Below are 22,197 nucleotides of genomic sequence, written 5' to 3' on the forward strand. Positions count from 1 at the left end.
TAAAAGTTAAGGTATTAGTTACCTTTGGGAGGATTGTGACTAGAAAGAAGGGCTCTGGGAAGCCAGTATATTCTATTTCTTGATCTAGGTACAGATTACACAGGTTTATTCAGTTGGTGATGTTTGTATGAGTGTGTTCAGTTTGTAAAAATTCATTGAGCTTTTTGACTATGGTGTACACACTTTTCTCTTTTTATATTAACTATCTTTCAATAAAATGTTTTAAAAATTTATGGGAACAGATTTAAAAGTATACTAACAGGAAAATACAGAGCACTTTGTGCTTAACAAAAGAATATCACTCAAGAAGGTATAAAAAGTAATACAAAATGAACTAAGTTTCTAAATGTAGAAGCAGGAAAGGGAAATTAATAGAGCTTAAGAACCACATTTAAATTAATGATAAAATATTAAAATGCAAAACTGATAAATAAATCCAAGCACCAGCTCTTTGAAAAGACCATAGGCAAACCTCAGGAAATGTAAAATGAAAAAAAAAATAAAAAGAGGTAAAACCTAAGTTTGAAAAATGATGAAGGGGATGGGATATTATCATAGATCAGAAATTCTCAACTTTAGCAACACTGACATTTGGGGCCAGATAATTCTTTGTTATAAGGGGCTAGCCTGTGCATTGTAACAGTAGCCCTGGCTTCTACCAACTAGATGGCAGTAGCACATTCCCACTTCCATCTGCAAAATCTGAAAATATCTCCATACATTAACAAATGTCAGGAAAGGCAAAATCACCTCCAGCTGAGAAGTAGTGCAATGGTAAAGGAAGTAAAACCCTATACTATTAACTTTTTACATCTGAATAAAAAAGCAATGTTTGAGGAAATATACATTATAAAAAATGGTGGAAATGTGGTAGAGAAGCTCAATAAAACAGTAATCAAAAAATTAAAATTTGTATTAAAGATTCATTACCCAAAAAAGGCAAATTCTGAATTTTCTATGTTGTTACGTTGATTTGTGTGTATATTCATGCCCTGGTGCCACACCCATTTAATCATTGTGGCAGAGAATACCCTTCAGACTTCTAAGGACTAGATCATTCATCTCCTACTTAGAATGTTATTGAGAGAAGTTATACAATAGAAATATAAATGAATACCCCATATAAGTAATAGAAATTGAAGAAATTTGATTTAATAATAGATAAATAATTATAATGATATATTAATTGTAATGATAAGATTTTATAAAAGTTGATGTATCAAAAATATTATTCCAATGTACATTCAATACAAAAGTATAATATTTGAATTCTTTTTTCATACTAAGTATTTGAAATTTGGTATGTATGATATACTTACAGAACATCTCCATTCAGACTAGCTATATTCCAGTGCTCAGTAGCTATCTGTGTATTGGACAGCACATTTACAGAGTATAGTTAAAGATGGAAATTTCCTGGATTCATTTTTCTCATTTCCTGAAGACAGTAGAAACGTGATCTTTAAAAAGAATAAAAAAAACAAAGACAATTGGCACTTCAGAACTTAGAAACAAAATCTTCAAACAAAATGTTAGCAAAACAATTATCATTACCTTAAAATGATAATATGTCATTCATGATCAAGTATGGTTACTCTAAGAATGCAAGGTGCAATTTATATTGGACCTATTAATATTATTTATCCTCTACTATATAAGAGAGAAAATCATATGAGCAGTTTAATGCCAGAAATGTATTCAGTTAATTAAATTTCATTTATATTCCTGATTTTATCTTTTTTTTTTTTTTTTTTCTGAGACAGAGTCTTGCTTTGTCACCCAGGCTGGAGTCCAGTGGTGTGATCTCAGCTCGCAACACCCTCCACTTCCTGGGTTCAAGTGATTCTCATGCCTCAGCCTCCCGAGTAACTAGGACTACAGGTGCATGCCACCATACCTGGCTAATCTTTATATTTTTAGTAGAGATCATGTAGGCCAGGCTGGTCTCCAACTCGTGACCTCAAGTGATCCACCCGACTTAGCCTCCCAAAGTGAGATTACAGGTGTGAGCCACCGTGCCAGGTCATCCCCCCATGCCCTGCTTCTTATATGTTGTACACCATATATTAGAATTCAAAAGCTGATATCAAAGGTAAAAGTAAAATGTCTTATTTTTAATAAAACTGAGAATGATCTAAGAATAAGAATACCCTAATTCTTAAAGATTCACTACTTAAAAGTCAGCTCTCTCCAAATTAATTTATAAATATTTTATAAGTCCGATTAGTGTCAAAATTATTAAAAATATTACCTGTAAGAAATAAATTATAAAATGGCCAACAGATTTTTGGAAAAAAGGTGTGCTTTGACTTACTAGATATTAAAATAAATAAGAAAAAAGTAATTAAAATAGAGAAGAACAAGTGTAGGAAGTATAGGCAGTTCAATCATGCAATGTAAGGTCCAGAAAGAACTCAGATATTTATAGAAATGTAATATACAGAAATAGTTACTTTTCAATTCCAGTAAAGATAGATTCTTCAATACATGTTCAAGAGTTTAGCTACAGTGAATGCTTATTGGAGTACTATTCATTGGTGAAAAATAGGAATCAACTAAAATGTTTGTGACGGTTAATACTGAGTGTCAACTTGATTGGACTGAAGGATGCAAAACATTGATACTGAGTGTGTCTGTAAGGGTGTTGCCAAAGGAGATTAACATTTGAGTCAGTGGGCTGGGAAAGGCAGATCCACCCTTAATCTGGGTGGGAACCATCTAATCAGCTGCAAGCACAGCCATAATATAAAGCAGGCAGAAAACCATGAAAAGGTTAGACTGGCCTAACCTCCCAGCCTACATCTTTCTCCCGTGCTGGATATTTCCTGCCCTCAAACATCAGCCTCCAAGTTCTTCAGCTTTGGGACTCTGACTGGCTCTTCTTGCTCCCTAACTTGTAGACGGCCTATTGTGGGACCTTGTGATTGTGTGAGTTAATACTCCTTAATAAACTCCTTTTTGTATATATATCCTATTAGTTCTGTTCCTCTAGAGAACCCTAACTAATACAGATTTTGGAACCAGGAGTGGTTCTAGAGGAACAGAATATTAAGGATGGAGTTCTTTCATTGGTTTTGGGGTTTCTGGAATTGTCTGCTTAATATGATTAGAGCCTAAAATGCTAAAGTCTCTGCTTCCAATAGTATGGAGAAAACTGATAGTTCTTGGCATGAACTGTTTAGAGAGTTATGCAAGATAAATGCATTTGACACTCCTGATTCACCGCTCATGAGATGCAAGTTTAGTGACTCTATACATAATACCTTTGACCATATGTAGAGAACCAAAGAACATAATGAAGTTGGTTGGTTGCTCCTAAGTTCACTGGACAAAGTGATGAGAGAAAATGATGAACTCAAGGATTCTAACTCCAGGCTACAGAAGCAGATACTTAGCTTCAAATCTACTAAGATTGCCCTGAGTGAGAAAGAGCTGTAGAGAAAGAGCTGAAATTGTGGAAAAACAGACACAAACTCTTATCATGCGAGGGGCTGGCATGCAATGAAAGATGCATGCACAGCCTCACCAGGTGTCTACTGTTAAAGTGAGGGCATTGACTGGAAAAGAATGGGACCTTGCAACTTGAAATGGGGATGTATGGGAGGACCCTGATGAAGCTGGGGACACTGAGTTTGTAAACTCTGATGAAACTTTTTTACCAGAAGGAATAGCTTCCCCATCCCCAGTAGTGGCAACATCCCCTCTCTAACCCATGCTGCCATCAGCCTTTCCACCTGTGTCTGAGGGGATAAAGCTTGTACTGTCTGAGGCAACAGTGGTGGACCGCTTGAGCCAGTTGCCAGGCAGGATAATGTTGATTCTCCTCTGGAACCACCCCCAAAACCCCTGTTTGCTTCTAGAACTATAACTAGACTAAAGTCTGGGCAGGCCCTTAGAGGTGAGGTTCAGAGTGTGACCCATGAGGAGGTGTGGGACACTTGAAAAGAACTGCTTGAGTTTTCCAATGTACACAAGCAGAAATCTGGAGAACAGGCATGAGAATGGATATTAAAGTTGTAGAATAATGGTGGAAGGAACACAGAGTTGGATCAGGCTAAATTTATTGATTTGGGCCCACTAGGTAGGGATTCTGCATTTAATGTTGAAGCTCAGGGAGTTGAAAAAGATTCTAATAATTTATTTGCTTGGTTAGCCGAAATACGGATTCCAAGATGGCTCACTCTGAGTGAGCTGGAATTGCCTCATCTGCCTTGGTTTAATGTAGACGAAGGGATCCAAAGGCTTAGGGAGATTGGGATGGTGGAGTAGATAAGTCACTTTAGATCCACTCATCCCAGCTGGTAGGGTACAGAAGATATACCCTTGACCAACGCTTTGGGAAACAAATTTGTGAGGGAAGCACCTGCCTCTTAGAAGAGCCCTGTAATTGCTCTTCTCTGTATGTCAGATCTAAAAGTGGAAACCACAGTCATTCAACTTCAATATTTAAATACAATGGGTATAATTGGATCCCGAGCTGCTAAGGGCCAAGTGGCAGCACTCAAACAACAAAGGCAAGGTGGGCTACTGTAATGGGTGGCAGAGGCAAGGCAGCAATCAGAATAGTCTGACTTGTGTAGACCTCTGGCATTGGTTAATTAATCAAGGTGTTCCTAGAAGTGAAATCGATGGGAAGCCTACTGTATTCCTACTTAATTTATATAAGCAGAAAACTTCTAGATCAAATGGACAAAGACTAATGTGAATTATAAAACCAGAAAATCATGGCCCCTCAATCAATTTCCACACTTGAGCCAATTTACAGACCCAGAAACCCTTGAATGAAGAGGAAGCCAGGTCTCCTTGAGGAAGGACCCCACTACACTACTGACAATTTATGCTGTTAATCTTTCTCCCATTCTTCCCCAAAGGGTCCTCTAGTCTTTTACCACTGGGGAAAGGGAAATGATCAGACATTCTGAGGACTGCTGGGCACTGGCTCTGAGGGGATGTTGATTTCAGGGGACTGAAAAGGTCATTGTGGTCCTCCAGTTAAAGTAGTGGCTTATGGAGGTCAGGTAATTAATGGGGTTTTAGCTCAGGTCTGATTTACACTGGGTCCCCGGACTCATCCTGTGGTCATTTCCCCAGTGCCAGAATGCAGAATTGGCATAGACACACTTAGCAGCTGCCAAAACCCCCACATTGGCTCCCTGACTGGTAAGATGAGGGGTATTAAGTGGGAAAGGCCAAATGGAAGCCATTAGAGCTCCCTCAACCTAGAAAAATGGTAAATCAAAAACGATATCACATCCCTGGAGGGACTGCAGAGATTAGTGGCACCATCAAGAAGTTGAAAAATGCAGGGGTGGTGATTCCCACTACATCCCCACTCAACTCTCCCATTTGGCCTGTGCAGAAGACAGATGGATCTTGGAGAATGACCATGGATTATCATAAGCTTAACCAAGTGGTGACTCCAATTGCAGTTGCTGTACCATATGTGGTTGCATTGCTTGAGCAAATTAACACATTTTCTTGTACCTGGTATGCAGCCATCGACTTGGCAAATACCTTTTTCTCCTTTTCTGTTCATAAGGCCCAAAGAAGTAATTTGCCTTCAGCAGGCAAGGCCAGCAATATACCTTTACTGTCCACCCTTAGTGGTATATCAACTCTCTGGCTTTGTGTCATTACCTGATTTGGAGAGATTTTGATCACTTTTTGCTTCTACAAGATATCACACTGGTCCATTACATTGATGACATTATGCTGATTGGATCCATTGAGCAAAAGGTAGCAAACACACTGGACTTACTGGCAAGACATTTGTGTGCCAGAAAATGGGAAATAAATCTGACTAAAATTTAGGGACCCTCCACCTCAGTAAAATTTCTAGGTGTCCAGTGGTGTGGGGTCTGTTGAGATATTCTTTCTAAGGTGAAGGATAAGTTGCTGCATTTGGCCCCTCCTACAACCAAGAAAAAGACACAATGCCTAGGGGCTTATTTGGATTTTGGAGGCAACACATTCCTCATTTGGGTGTGTTACTCCAGCCCATTTATAGAGTGACCCCAAAGCTGCCAGTTTGGAGTGGGGTCCAGAACAGGAGAAGGCTCTGCAACAGATCCAGGCTGCTGTGGAAGCTCTCTGCTACTTGGGCCATATGACCCAGCAGATCCAATGGTGCTGAGGTGTCAGTGACTGATAGGGATGCAGTTTGTAGCCTTTGGCAGGCCCCCATAGGTGAATCACAGAAGAGGCCCTGCCGTCTTCTGCAGATAACTACTCTCCTTTTGAGAGACAGCTCTTGGCCTGTTACTGGGCTTCGGTGGAAACTGAACATTTGACTATGGGTTATCAAGTCACCATACAACTTGAACTGCCTATCATGAACTGGGTGCTTTCTGACCCATCTAGCCATAAACTGGGTCATGCAAAGCAGCATTCCATCATCAAATGGAAGTGGTATATACGTGATCGGGCTCGAGCAGGTCCTGAAGGCACAGGTAAGTTACATGAGGAAGTGGCTCAAATGCCCATGGTCTCCACTCCTGCCACCCTGCCTTCTCTCTCCCAGCCTGCACTGATGGCCTCATAGAGAGTTCCCTATGATCAGCTAACAGAGGGAGAGAAGATTAGGACCTGGTTCACAGATGATTCTGCATGATATGCAGGCACCACACAAAAGTGGACAGCTGCAGCACAACAGCCCCTTTCTAGGACATCCCTGCAGGACAGCGGTGAAGGAGTCTTCCCAGTGAGCAGAACCTCAAGCAGTGTACCTGGTTGTGCAGGTTGCATAGAAAGAGAAAGGGCCAGATATGCGGTTATATACTGATTCATAGGCTGTAGCCAGTGGTTTGGCTGGTCAGGGACTTGGAAGAAGCATGATTGGAAAATTGGTGACAAAGAAATTTGGGGAAGAGATATGTGGATGGACCTCTCTGAGTGGTCATAACTGAAGATATTTCTATTCCATGTGAGTGCTCACCAACGGGTGACCTTGGGGAAGAGATATGTGGATGGACCTCTCTGAGTGGTCATAACTGTGAAGATATTTGTGTTCCATGTGAGTGCTCACCAACGGGTGACCTTAGCAGAGGAAGAGTTTAATAATCAAGTGGATAGAATGACCAGTTCTGTGGACACCATTCAGCCTCTTTCCCCAGCCACCTCTGTCATAGCCCAGTGGTCCCATGAACAAAGTGGCCATGGTGGCAGGGATGGAGTTTACATATGGGCTCAGCAACATGGACTTCCACTCACCAAGGCTAACCTGGCTATGGCAACTGCTGAGTGCCCAGTTTTCCAAAAGCAGAGACCAGCACTGAGCCCTCAATATGGCATCATTTCTCAGGGTGATCAGCCAGCTACTTGGTGGCAGGTTGATTATATTGGACCTCTTCCATCATGGAAAAGGAAGAGGTTTGTCCTCACTAGAATAGACACTTACTGGGTTTGCCTATTCTGCAACCAGTGCTTCTGCGAAGACTACCATCTGTGGGCTCACGGAATGCCTTATCCACCATCATGATATTCCACACAGCATTGCCTCTGACCAAGGCACTCACTTTACGGCTAAAGCAGTGTGGCAGTGGGCTCATGCTCATGGAATTCACTAGCCTTACCATGTTCCCCATCATCCTGAAGAGGCTGGATTGATGAACGGGAGAATGGCTTTTAGAAGTCACAAGTACAACACCAACTAAGTGACAATACTTTGCATGCCTGGGCAAAGTTCTCCAGAAGGTCGTGTGTGCTCTGCATCAGCATCCAATATATGGCACTGTTTGTCCCATAGCCAGGATTCACAGGTCCAGGAATCAAGGGGTGGAAGTGGAAGTGGCACCACTCACCATCACCCCAAGTGATCCACTAGCAAGATTTTTGCTTCCCGTTCCCACAATATTACATTCTGCCGGCCTAGAGGTCTTAGTTCCAGAAGGAGGAACACTGCCACTGGGAGACACAACAACAATTCCATTTAACTGGAAGCTAAGATTGCCACCTGGACACTTTAGGCTCCTCCTACCTTTAAATCAACAGGCTAAGAAGGGTGTTACGGTGTTTGCTGGGGTGATTGAGGCTATTAAGATGAAATAAGTCTACTACTCCACAACAGAGTTAAGGAAGAGCATGCATGGAATACAGGAGATCCATTAGGATGTCTCTTAGTATTACTATGCCGTGTGATTAAAGTCAATGGAAAACTGCAACAGCCCAATCCAGGCAGGACTACCAATGGCCCATCAGGAATGAAGGATTGGGTCACTCCACCAGGAAAAAAAACTACGACCTGCTGAGGTGCTTGCTGATGGGAATACAGAATGTGTGGTAGAAGAGGGTAATAATTAATACCAATTATGATCACGTGGTCAGTTACAGAAAGGAGGACTGTAATTGTCATGAGTATATCCACCTTCTTTTGTTAAAAACATGTTTGTGCATGGATACACTTGTACTAAGAAAATATCTTCATTTTATTTCCTTTTTCCTTTATCCTGTGACATAAGATTTATTGACTTCATATCAGCATTTAAGTATTGTTGACTTTATGTAATAGCATTTGCGTCGAGGATTGGTGCATTTGCGTCGAGGATTGGTGCATTTTCGGTTGTATGAAAGATAGTTGTATCCTGTTAGGTGTAATTATAACTTTATTACTGTCTTTATTTGAAGATTATGTATGATCTCAGGAGATGTGTATGGGTTCAAGTTGAAAAGGGAGTAGACTAGTGATGGTTAATACTGAGTGTCAACTTGATTGGATTGAAGGATGCAAAGTATTGATCTTGGATGTATCTGCTAGGTGTTGTCAAAGGAGATTAACATTTGAGTCAGTGGACTGGGAAAGGCAGACTCACCCTTTATCTGGGTGGGCACCACCTAATCAGCTGCCAGAGCAGCCAGAATATAAAGCAGGCAGAAAAAACAGAAAAGGCTAGACTGGCTTAGCCTCCCAGCCTACATCTTTCTCCTGTGCTGGATGCTTCCTGCCCTCAAACATCAGACTCCAAGTTCTTCAGCTCTGGACTGGCTTCATTGCTCCTCACCTTGCAGACAGCCTATTGTGAGGCCTTATTATTGTGTGAGTTAACACTCCTTAATAAGCTCATATATATATATAATATATACTAATAAGAGATATATATAAATCCTATTAGTTATGTCCCTCTAGAGAACTCTAATACAATGCTCAAGCAATGAAATTTGTATATAAATTATGATATATTTTTATAATGCAATATTATCCACCCATTTAAAATTATGTTGTGGAAGAGTAATCTATATAAAGAGGTTTATTACACAGCATTAATTGACAATGAAACAGTTTACCAAGTACTAAGTAATGTGAAGTTCAATTTTTGTGTTCTCTTTGGTGTTCACACCAAAAGGATCTCTTTGTAGTCCTCTTAATAACTTTTTGCTGCATTATCAAATCCCTAAGATACAAAAAAACAAATTCTTGAGTTTTACCTAACCTAAACTAGGTTTAACCTTAATTATTTTTAACCAAATTTCAGTCAAATTTTGATGTTTTTGTTTCCCTATCTCTTCTTTCCCTTCTTCTATTTTGTACCCTTGTTCTCTTTCAGCAAGGTTTTTTTTTTAACCTTTTTTTTTTGTTTTTTTTTTTCCATTTCCATTGATCGAATTGGGAGCAATTATGAAAAGCATTTTAGAAGTTATTGCTTATTAAAAGAAATTACTACTACATCACCTTGCTTCCACCTCCATCTTTATCAGTGCAGATACCAAGAGCCTGAATACTTCTTTGACTTGCCCCTCTGCCTCAAAAGCCATGTCCAAACCTGATGTCATAATTCTGAAATGTGTTCAGAACCCACTGCTCTTCTTTAATACTGCTGTAACTGTGTGTTGTGAGCAGCGAAAGATGAGACGTAACCAAGTCTGTGCATGTTTGTATCTTTCCACAAGGTCAGATTTTCCTTGGTGTTATTTCAATTGCAAAAGTCACGGCTACATGGAGTTCCCAAGGAAGCAATTCTCCTTAGCACTACCTGTTCACTCAGTAGTTAGCGCCATGGGCACACGGGCTCAAGCCACAAGTCAGTCAATATTGCAAATCACACATTGTAGTATAATTAATATATAAATGTTATAGATTAAATATTCCATATCAGACAAACAATTAACATCAAGACGAAAAGGATTAGGAAAATGGGGTCAAATGAACCAGTGCAAGGAGAGTGACATGGACAAGGAGAGTGTCCTGGCCTGATCCTGATGGATGTCAATGACTTCCACTGAAGAGTCTTTTATTTGGGCAGAGCCTTCAGCCTCAGATGCCAGGTGCTAATCACAAGTGACAGCATAACCGTGTCTATCAAGATGGCCGTCTTGAGCTGGTGAAGTCTTGCTATTCTTATGGCCCCGGAGTCTTCTGGTGAGGACTGAATTGATAGTAAAGAGTGTGCCTGGTTATGTCCTTATCTGATTGATTGCTGTCTCTATTGATTAGGCGAACATCTGATCGCTGTTGGTATGATGCCTGTTGGTATGATGCATTCTGAAACATAAGATGAGTCTTTTTCTAAGATGGAGTTACAGATGTCAAGGGTGCTCTATAAACAGCACCATTCAGTCCTTCAACACTTTTCACAGGTATATCTATAACCTACCAATAGACCTTATTGCTAACAATCTCCTCCCCTGTCCAATCCATACCTCAGCCTGAAAGTTCTTTCTAGAATACTGATTAATCATGCCATTTGTCTGCTTTTTGGAGAAAGTTAGAACTTCTGAGAATGGATTTCAAAGCTTTTGAGCCCAACCTGATTTTCCAATCTCACCTCAGTTTATCACTCCCTGCCTACCATACCAAACTCCGCCCATCTCAGAAAGTATAGGAACTTTTGAAGAAGTGTTTCTGATGGAATAGTCTAAACAGTATGCACATTTTGCCAGGCCGTGTGTGTGGTACCACTGTAAATTTTATAATGACACTAGATTTTCCAACCATTTGTTTTTCATCCAAGTATTTCTGATCGTTTTAGTAATAGCAAATTTTTTCACAGTAATTTGTTTTATAAGCATCAGGTAGGATCAGATCTCCCTCATGCAAACACATTATCATCTCTTTAACTTGTGCGGCCCTCACTCCATCCTCCACCCTTTTTCCTTTCAGGAGAAACTTACTTTGTGGTTTCACTCTTATTTTATTTGTTTAAAATGTCCCATCCTGTTAAGCAAAGGATTATTTCTCCAAATGACCTGTATCTTTTCATATTTTTCTCTTTTTTTTGCTCATGATGTTATCTCTACTTGAAAATTCCTTGATATTTGTCTTCAGTGAGCTAAATCCTACAGACATTCAATGCTTACCCCAGACATTACTCCCTCTTCAAAGGTTTCCCTCTTGATATTCCTAACACATCACCTCACATGTGAGTAGAAAGTTGAATTTATTAGGTTGGTGCCAACGTTTGCACCAACCTAATACTTAATCTCCTCATTACTACCACTAACAGAGTCTCAAAAAAGGAAGACATACCTATAACAAAAGTCTAGAAGCAAAAGTTTTGGAGTTAAATGACCTGCTTTTGCCTGGGCACAGTGGCTCACACCTGTAATCCCAGCACTTTGGGAGGCTGAGGCGGGCAGATCATGAGGTCAGGAGATTGAGACCATCCTGGCTAACATAGTGAAACCCCATCTCTTCTAAAAATACAAAAAATTAGCCGGGCATGGTGGCAGGCGCCTGTAGTCCCAGCTACTCGGGAGGCTGAGGCAGGAGAATGGCATGTACCCTGGAGGCAGAGCTTGCAGTGAGCCGAGATCGTGCCACTGCACTCCAGCCTGGGCAACACAGCAAGACTCCGTCTCAAAAAAAAAAAAAAAAAAAAAAAAAAAAGATCTGCTTTTGTTCCCAGTTTACAAATCACTCAAATTTCAATCTACTCTCTTTCTCTTTTGTATTCCCATTGCTCTTTGTAAATACTCTCTTGAAACATTTAACACACTCCTTTTCTCTCACCATACATAAAATCAGGTGGTATGTGTTAATTCATTTCTGACTTTTTCAGGCCTTAATAATCATTAAAAACAATTAAAGAAGATAAGAAGGAAGGAAGGAATGAAGGAAAGAAGGAAGGAAGGAAGGAACGAAGGAAATCATTCTATTCAGATTTCTAATAGCCTGTCTATCTAAACTTGGAGTTGAGGTAATGTATGATCCAAGAGGAAAAAGAAGCAACACGGATAGCTTAAGCGAAAATTAAATTCCTGTAAAGGGTGAAAGTTTACACTTTCTTTTTAGGTGGAAGCTTGATTAGACCACTAGAAAAAAAAAAGAGTTAAATTACTTCTTTCTCTTCCAATAGTCTTGTTTATTACATTGCAGCAAACGTTTGTATATGGAATTGCTTTTTAAAAGCAGGAAATCTGCTTCTCTGTGAACACTGGTTTGTAGCTCCTTTTTCATTTTCTTGACTAACAACTCAGTTCTATAAATTGTTTCAGTAGTTCAATAAACAAGTGCTAAATTGTGAGCTCCCTAAGGATAATGACTGTGTCTTATTCAGTAATGTTTACCAGGAGCCTCACTAATACCAGGAAGGCAAGTTTGCCTACATTTACTCGAGAATATATTGTTGTTAATTCTCTAAAGACCAGTGGAGTACATGTTCTCTCAATGTCTATCCACATGGCAAAACTGTGTGAAGAATAACAACCAGACAGACCTCAAATTTGCTCATTTGATGATTTATCTTGTTTGATGAAAGGCACGATAGCCTAAGAAAACTCTCTTTTCTCAGATACTATTTGCCTCAGATCAATAGTATGCAGAAAATACCATCACAGGACAAAAGAAAATTGTCTTGACTGCAACTAGAGCACAAAGGGGAAAAAGATGTAACAATCTAAATTTCAAGAAAGAAGTCTCAGTTAAAAGCATTGCTCTCAGAAGTCTTTTCTGGTGCCTCTGCAGATGATCCTATTAGATGCTAGCAATTGCTAAGATTGAAATACTCCAAGGTGAGAGAGAATGCTTCGGAAACACAGACTAGATGGCCTATGATTCGTTAACTTTATTAAACAGCACTGTATTTCCTGAACAAACAAAAGAGTACACTGGTATGTTCCTGAACTTTTAAAGTTTTGCATTTGATGGAGTTCAGGACACACTAACCCAGGATGTGGCATCTTGACATTTGAGAAAATAGTAGAAACATGAAGGTCACTCTCACCTTCCCCTTGCCCCTTCTCCTCTGAAGCAGGCCATAAAATGTAGAAATAATTCTCTGACCTTCTCTCCTGTAGCAGAGAATAAAATCAGCTGACTTTCCCGTGAAGCAGATCATAAAATCCTGTTTCCTGAGGTGCCCTCCTTGTACCTGGAGGGAAAGAATGTTCTTATCTCTGAAGTCAGAGGGACACAGAGAAGAATCTGAGCAAACAGGCCTTGCTAAGATGGGGTTTGTTACCATTAGATCATACCTTGTTAGTCCAATTACACTTCTGCACAACTCTCCACTCTTCCTCCTACCTAAGCATAAAAATATACGAGTTTCCCTGTTTCTTGGGGTCTTCATTTCTTATTTTACTTTGTTTGTTTCTTTCTTTTTTTTTTTTTCTTTTTTCAAGTAGGAGTCTTGCTCTGTCACCCAGGCTGGAGTGCAATGACACGATCTCAGCTCACTGCAAGCTCCGCCTCCTGGGTTCAAGAGATTCACCTGTCTCAACCTCCTGAGCAGCTAGGATTACAGGCATGCACCACCACTCCCAGCTAATTTTTGTATTTTTATTAGAGACAGGGTTTCACCATGTTGGCCAAGATGGTCTCGAACTTCTGACCTCAAGTGATCAACCTGCCTCTGCCTCCCAAAGTGCTGGGATTACAGACGTGAGCCACTGTATCCGGTGGGTCTTCATTTCTGAAGGCTCCCATGTCAGGCAAAACTTATATTAAATAGATTTGTTTTTCTCTTGTTAATCTATCTTTTGTTACAGGTGCCTTAGCTGGGAACATTGAAACAGGTAAGGAAAAGATTAACACTTTTTCTCCTTTGCACATTTAACTTAATTAGAGTACACCAGACTCCAAGTCTCTCTTACTTCTTGCTTTCTTACCCCATGCCTAGCTTTAATTCAAATTTGGTTTAAATGGTTAATTGCCTTAGAAGCCTGGTAAAGTAGTTTTTATGTTAACTAAACATCAAATGTGAGTAAATCACTCTGCTAGATGCTTTACATAGTCTACCCAATTTTCCCTTAAACAACTTCCCAAGGCTTATGTTTTTTTTCCTATTTATTCTTAGGAAAACTAAGAGTCAAGTGATCAAGTAACCATCAAGGAAACATTCATAATCTTTCCATTGGACCAGGTCTATCTCCATGTTTATTCAACACACAGTGGCGTCAAATGGTATCCTCTTTATAAAACTTGCTCAAATTAGGGATTCTTCCCCCTCCTTCCCCATCTCCACCTGGAACTCCAAGGTATGAGAGCAATCTGGCTCATCCCTTCAATCTCCCAGGTGAACCAGCATCCAAAGAATTCCTAGCAAGAACAACTTGGCATAGTGAAAAACAACGTGCCAGTTGAGGAATTAGATGTTCTGGGCTCCATTCACCTGACCAGCTGTGTTACCTCTGCCTGATGATTTAACTGCTCTTAGCCTTATGTTCCTTATCTTTCACTGAGGTTAACCATCTAGTTACATAGAATATTTTAGTTTGAGTTATAATGGAATCTCTAAGAGAATAGGTATATGTTGTAAGTATTCTTTAAATTAACATTTAATCCATAAACTGCAAATTAGGGACATTGCCCACACTTTTTAATTTTATTTTATTTTATTATTTTTGAGATAGGGTCTCACACTGTCACTCAGGCTGAGTTGCCATGACACAATCATGGCTCACTGCCGCTGTGACCTCCTGGGCTCAAGCAATCCTCTCACTTCTCAGCCTCCTCAATAGCTGGGGCTATGGGTGCCTGCCACCATGCCTGGCTGATTTCTGTATTTTTAGTAGAGATTTGGTCTCACAATGTGGCCTAGGCTGGTCTCGAACTCCTGGGCTCAAGTGATCTGCCTGCCTCAGCCTCCCAAGGTGCTGGGATAGCAGGCATGAGTCACTGTTCCCAGCTGCTCACAACTTTAAAAAAGAAAGCTTAGTGTCTCAACTACATTCTAATGTCATATGGATTATGTTCCAACAAATTCTTTTTCTCAAAGAAAACAATTATTTAAAAAATCATTAACATGTTTGTTTATTATTTGACATTTAAAATGTGCTGTTTTTATATTGAAATAACTCTATCCAAAGTGTACGAAGAGAGAATGGATTCCCTAAGATGGTCAAGTGCAGCAGCATGTTAGCTATCAGACAATAATAAATTGGGAATGACAGATAGTGCTGACCATGGTGCATTCCATAGTGAGAATGGTAAGGACTTAGCAGCTTCCCATTAAATTAATGAGAACCCTCAGCCTTTTTGGCCAGCAAGATTAAGCAACATAATGGAGACATCTGAATACCTTTCTACCACCCTGGGAATGAAAGGCAAGATTGAAAGGACAACCAATTCAGTTAAGTGTTTGGCTTTTCACCCAGGTTACCCCTAGATTGGGCTGTTATTCCACTATTCTCTCATTTTGGCTTTCAAGATCAGCAGCAGCTAAAATAGCATTTTTGAAGTCTTTTAGGTTGTTTATACCCTTGTTTCCTAGATCAATAAGAAATAGAAAGACCAGGAATCCCTCCAGGTCCCTAAAACTGTCCAATAAAGATGTGCCATTAATTTGGATTTATAAGTAGGGTTTTCATTTTATGGTCTGCTTGCTTTTTATAATCAGCAACTCTTCAGTCTGCTATGTAAAAGGAGGCATAGCAATTAGTTAAAAGCTGAAGTGAAAAAGACTAGAATCTAACTGTGGATTTTTCCTCTTCTGTGAGGCAGGATGTGAGAAATCAAAGTATTGGATTAGGAATTAGGCGAGTAGTGCCACTAACAACATGTGCAGCCTGGAAAAATCCAGTCTCTCAAAGCCTCAGTCTCTCCATTGGTAATCAGTTTGACAGTATGATGGCTACATTTTTCAGCATTTCTAACTATATTGCTCTCTTTAAAAACAAAGACTGATATGGAGAATGAGTAGGTAACAGAGCACCAGTATTCCCAAGAAGATATATGCCCAAGAAAATGAATCCTCTCTTGGGCATACATCTTCTTCTGTAAATGGGAATCTATTTACAGATTTTATTTATTTATTTTTCTTGAGACAGAGTCTCACTCTGTCCCTCAGGCTGGAGTGTAGTGATGCGATCTTGGGATCTTGGCTCACTGCAACCTCCGCCTCTTGGGTTTAAGCAATTCTTGTGCCTCAGCTTCTTGAGTACCTGAGAATTCAGGTGTGCGCCACCACACCCGGCTACTTTTTGTGTAGAGATGGAGTTTCACCATGTTGGCCAGGCTGGTCTCACACTCCTGACCTCATGTGGTCCACCCCACCTTGGCCTCCTGGAGTGCTAGGATTACAAGCGTGAGCCACCACGCCCGGCCTATTTACAGATTTATGCTATCTATTTTTCTACTATTGAACACTCAAATTCTAATCCATGGAAATTCCATTTATATATTGAAGAGTAAGCACACAGAACATTGTTCACATTGCTACTGTTAGTATTTTTTACCGGGACTTATAACATCACCTGTTAGGTCAACATTGATCCACCAGTCAACACAATTTGTTTGTATTTTTGCTTTCTTTAATCCATAATTTAATTCTCTTAACCCCCCTGGGAAAAATCCGTAGGCATCACTTTGAAGTTTATTTCTCATAATCTTTTAAAACATAGGTCATTAAGTGACTGTGTTTCCATTTAGAGGATTAATCCTCTGTGTGTTTTCTAATTCCTTAGGCTGACTAGTCTTGTCATCTCAATAGCCATTAATATCTTACCCAGAGAACGGAAGCTTAAAGAAAGCTGTTGAAGATTTAAGATAATCTATAAGTTTGGATAGTTTTTTTTATTTATCATATTCATTTATTTATTTGAGACAAGAGTCTTGCTCTGTCACCCAGGCTGGAGTGCAGTGATGCGATCTCGGCTCACTGCAATCTCTGTCTCCCCAGTTCAAGCGATTCTCATGCCTCACCCTCCGGAGTAGCTGGGATTACAATCGTGTCCCACCACACCTGGCTAATTTTTGTATTTTTATTAGAGATGAGGTTTCACTGTGTTGGCCTGACCTCAAGTGATCCACCCACCTCAGCCTCCCAAAGTGCTGGGATTATAGGCGTGAGCCACTGTGCCTGGCCAAAGGTTTTAAAATTGTAAAGACCTGTAACATTAACCTTTGCATAGAGAAACACATAGTGGGGTTACTAGATCTGTATGTTTCACAGACTTCTGAGAGAGCTCAAGCCCCAGGAAAATAATGAAATCAAACTTTAGTGTCCAAAATTTCTTAGTAGTTTTTTATGAAAGTCTGCAAGGAAAAGAAATAGCAACATTGAGCACTTACTATTTGACAAGTCCTTTCTGTATATTAGCCTGCTTTATCTTATCTTAGCCCTAAAAGTGTCATGAGTCCTGGTTCACATATAAAGAAACCGAGGCTTAGCAATGTAAGGATTCTTCCTTTGACTCTTTCTATGACAGGTAGTCAACAGCAAAATCAGTATTCCAACACTAGTCTATAAAACTCTAAAATTGATGTTTTCACTCTGTCACTGCTTCTCTTGCAAAACCTATTAGATATTCCCTTTATTTCTGCCCTTCATGCTTCTTTCTCTCTATTGATTGATTGATTGATTGAGACAGGGTTTCACTCCCATTGCCCAGGCTAGAGTGCAGTGGCGCGATCTCAGCTCACTACAACCTCCACCTCCCCAGTTCAAACACTCCTGTCTCAGCCTCCAGAGTAACTGGGACTACAGGCATGGACCACTATGCCCTGCTGATTTTTATACTTTTAGTAGAGATGGGGTTTCACCATGTTGGCCAGGCTGGTCTTGAACTCCTGACCTCAAGTGATCTGCCCACCTTGGCCCCCCAAAGTACTGGGATTACAGGTGTGAGCCACAGTGCCCGATCACTCTCTCCATCTTTAAACTCAAAGGTGAAGACTTTTTAGTTAAATTTTCTTCCAGCTACCAAGCTTCTGCTAATAAAATAATTTTTGTTTTATTAGAGTTAGCATTTATTGAGAACTATGTGGCCTAAACTGCACTGTAGGGTTTGGCACTATAAGAATAGCGTTTACAGATTTGAAAACAAAGGCTAAAAAGATTTAGTAATTGCCTACGATGAGCTTGTTGGTGAGTTCTCAAGAAAAAAATTCAATCCCTTATCCATGTAACTATAGAGTGTGCAGTTAGCCACTATTTAAAAATCTAAGCCTCAGGAAGAAAATATATATTAAAATTTCTTTTATTTCAAGTAGAGGGGATTTAATTAAATTTGTATTTTTCAAAGAGATTTGGTTGCTTATCTCTATTCTGAAAATTCTCTTCAGCCTTTTGCTTTTTGAAAAACGATTTGCACTATGCCTAAGAAAAACAAGAACCAAACAAAATGCCACTGATATTATGGTATACCACTGCCATCTAATGGCCACTACGGCTAACAAATTGCAAATGTTTTATGATTGAAAATGACCAATGTACAATTATTAAAATATGGAGATGCAAGGTTGAATTTGAAGGGAAATGCTAGAGTAGTGTAATTTGATTTTATTACTTACTGTGGATCTGAGCCATCCCAAGAGTAAATACACAGTTTTAGCTCTTCCTGCGTGTGTCATGAAGTGAACATTAGTGTTAGAGGCCTTTAAACAATGAATTGTAAAAAGCAAACACACCATGTGCAGTTGGGAATTTTGCTTTAAATTTTGTAAACTTTTTGGGTAAGCACGATTTTAAGTCGCATCTATATATTTCAAAAACATTTTGGAATTAGCTGTGTGAATGCCATGCTGGGCTTGGTGACTGATACATACACTGAGCAAAACCAACTGGTGTTTTGGTCCATAGTAGCATGGATGGTACTACCGGATACAGCATTTTGGATTTTTATTGCATGTAGATTAATGTAACACTTCATTTATCATTTGTTTGTTTGTAAATTTGTTCAAACACTTCTTTATTTGTTAGCTTATTTAAACCACTTGTGCCAGAGATGCCTGTCCATTTTGCATGGAGAAACCAGAGATTTTGGATTCAGATATGTTTAGAACCATGAGTTGGAAGGACATTCAGTTACTCATTTAGCAAATATTTATTGAGTTTTGGTGAGGTGTTGCACACAGAGTAAACATGACATACTCTTCTTCCCTTCAAAGTAATTGTAGAAGTATCAAGTAACTATAGAAAGCAGAAACACAGATAGGCAAACAGAAGACAAAATATGGCTAGTGGGATTGAGGACATGTTACCCCAACATGTGAGACCTTGGCTTTTGAGAAAACAGCAGAGGCAGAAAGGTCACTCTCACTTTCCCATCACACTTTTCTCCTAAAGCAGACTACAAAATCCAGCGAGCTTACTCTTTGACCTTCTCTAGACCCTCATTTCAGAGGCATCCTCCCTATACCAGGAGGAGAGAAACAGGGACACAGAAAAGAATCTGCACAAGCAGAACTTGCTAAATCCCCCCTCCCCCAGTTTATTATCACTAGATTATGCCCTCTGTCCAATCACAATTCTTGACAACTGTTCACTCTTAATCAAACTGAAGCATTAAAATACATAAGCTTACCTGTTTGCGGGATCTTCAAATTTCTGAAGCCTCCTCTCTTACATAAAATTTATATTAAATGAATTTAAATCCTACTCAAACTATTCCTAAAAATAGTTGAAGAGGGAATATTTCCAAACTCACTCTATGAGGCCGGTATTACCCTGATATCAAAACCAGACAAAGAAACAACAACAAAAAAGAGAAAACTACAGGTCAATATCTCTGATGTATATTGATGCAAAAATCCTCAACAAAATTCCAGCAAACTGAATTCAACAATACATTACAATGATTATTTATCATGACCAAGTGGGATTTATCCCTGGGATCTAAGGATGGTTCAACACACAGAAAATCAATCAGCATGCCACATCATATCAACAGAATGAAGAATAAAACCATATGATCATTTCAATTGATGTAGAAAAAGCATTCGAAAAAATTCAATATCCCTTCATGATAAAAACCCTCAAAAAACTGGGTATAGAAGGAACATACCTCAACATAATAAAAGCCATATATGACAGACCCACAGCTAGTATCATACTGAATGGGGAAAAACTGAAAGCCTTTTCTCTAAGATCTGGAACATGGCATGGATGCCCACTGTCACTACTGTTATTCTTCATAATACTGGAAGTCCTAGCCAGAGCATTCAGACAAGAGAAAGATGTAAAGGGCTCCAAATTAGAAAGGAAGAAATCAGATTATCCTTGTTTGCAGATGATATGATCTTATATTTGGAAATACCTAAAGATTTCACAAGAAAGCTATAAGTACTGTTAAATTTACTGATAAATTCAGTAAAGTTGCAGGATATAAAATCAACATACGAAAATCATTAGCATTTCTATATTCCAACAGTGAACAATGTGAGAAAGAAATAAAAAATAGTCCCACTTACAATAGCAATACATAAAATTAGATACCCAGGAATTAATTTAACCAAATAAGTGAAAGATCTGTATAATGAAAACTATAAAACACTGATGAAGGAAATTGAAGAGGACACCAAAAAATGGAAAAATATTCCATGTTCATGGATTGGAAGAATCAATATTGTTAAAATGTCCCTACTACCCAAAGCAATCTACAGATTCAATGCAATTTCTGTCAAAATACCAATGACATTCATCACAGAAAAAGAAAAAAAATTCCTAACAATTATATGGAACAAGAAAACATCCAGAATAGCCAAAGCAATCCTGAGTAAAAAGAACAAAACTCGAGGAATCACATTACCTGACTTCAAACTATACTACAGAGCTATAGCAACCAAAATGGCACGATACTGACATAAAGACTGACACGTAGACCAATGAGAATAGAGAACCCAGAAACAAGACATGCCTATAGTGAATATATTTTTGACAAAGGTGCCAAGAACATACACTGGGGAAAAGACAGTCTCTTCAATAAATGGTGCTGGGAAAACTTGATGTACAGATGCAGAAGAATGAAACTAGGTCCCTATCTCCAACCATATACAAAAATCAAATCAAAATGGATTAAAGACTTAAGTCTAACACCTCAAAATATAAAACTACTACAAGAAAACATTGGGGAAATTATCCAGGACATTGATCTAAGCAAAGATTTCTTGAGCAATACCCCACAAAGAGGGACAACCAAAGCAAAAACGGATGAGTAGGATCACATCAAGTTAAAAAGCCCCTACATAGCAAAAGATACAATTAACAAAGTGAATAGACAACCCACAGAATGGGAGAAAATATTTGCAAACTACAACTAACTACTCACCTGACAAGGGATTAATAATCAGAATACATAAGGAGCTCAAACAACTCTATAGGAAAAAAAAAACCTAATATTCCAATCAAAAGATGGGCAAAAGGTCTGAATAGACATTACCCAAAATAAGACATACAAATAGAAAACAGGCATATGAAAAGTGCTCAACATCACTGATCATCAGATATATGCAAAAAAAGAAAACATCTAACAATGAGATATCATCTCACCCTAGTCAAAATGGCTTATACCCAAAAGACAGGCAATAACAAATGCTTGCAAGGATGTGGAGAAAAGGGAACCTCCTTGTACACTGTTGGTGGAAGTGTAAATTGGTACAACCACTATAGAGAAGAGTTTGGAAGTTCCTCAAAAAACTAAAAATTGAGCTACCATATGATCCAGCAATCCCACTGCTGGGTACATACCCAAGAGAGGAAATCTCTATATTAAAGAGATATCTGCACACCTATGTTTGTTGTGGCACTGTTTACAATAGCTAAGATTAGGAGGCAACTTACATGCCCATCAGCGGATAAATGGATAAAGAAAATGTGAAACATATACACAACGGAGTACTATTCAGCCATAAGAAAGAATGAGATCCAGTCATTTGCAACAACATGATGGAACCGAAGAAGATCATTATGTTAAGTGAAATAAGCCAGGCACAGAAAGAAAAACATCGCATGTTCTCACTTATTTGTGGGATCTAAAAATCAAAACGGCTGAACTCATGGACATAGCAATTTGAAGGGTGGTTACCAGAGGCTAGGAAGAGTAGCGGGG

At 39.2% G+C, this 22,197-nt stretch overlaps 1 long non-coding RNA gene across 2 annotated transcripts in view; it reads right to left on the reverse strand.

The window, feature by feature from the left end:
• The window catches only part of LOC105369302 (uncharacterized), a 104,389-nt gene that overhangs the window by 51,079 nt on the left and 31,113 nt on the right, over positions 1-22,197 (reverse strand). For both annotated transcript variants that reach the window (XR_001754972.2, XR_937594.3), the window contains exon 2: positions 1,320-1,460. This is a non-coding gene — a long non-coding RNA (uncharacterized LOC105369302). The remainder of the gene's footprint in view (positions 1-1,319; positions 1,461-22,197) is intronic.

This window comes from Homo sapiens, chromosome 21 (assembly GCF_000001405.40).
Source record: "Homo sapiens chromosome 21, GRCh38.p14 Primary Assembly".
Lineage (NCBI taxonomy): Eukaryota > Metazoa > Chordata > Mammalia > Primates > Hominidae > Homo > Homo sapiens.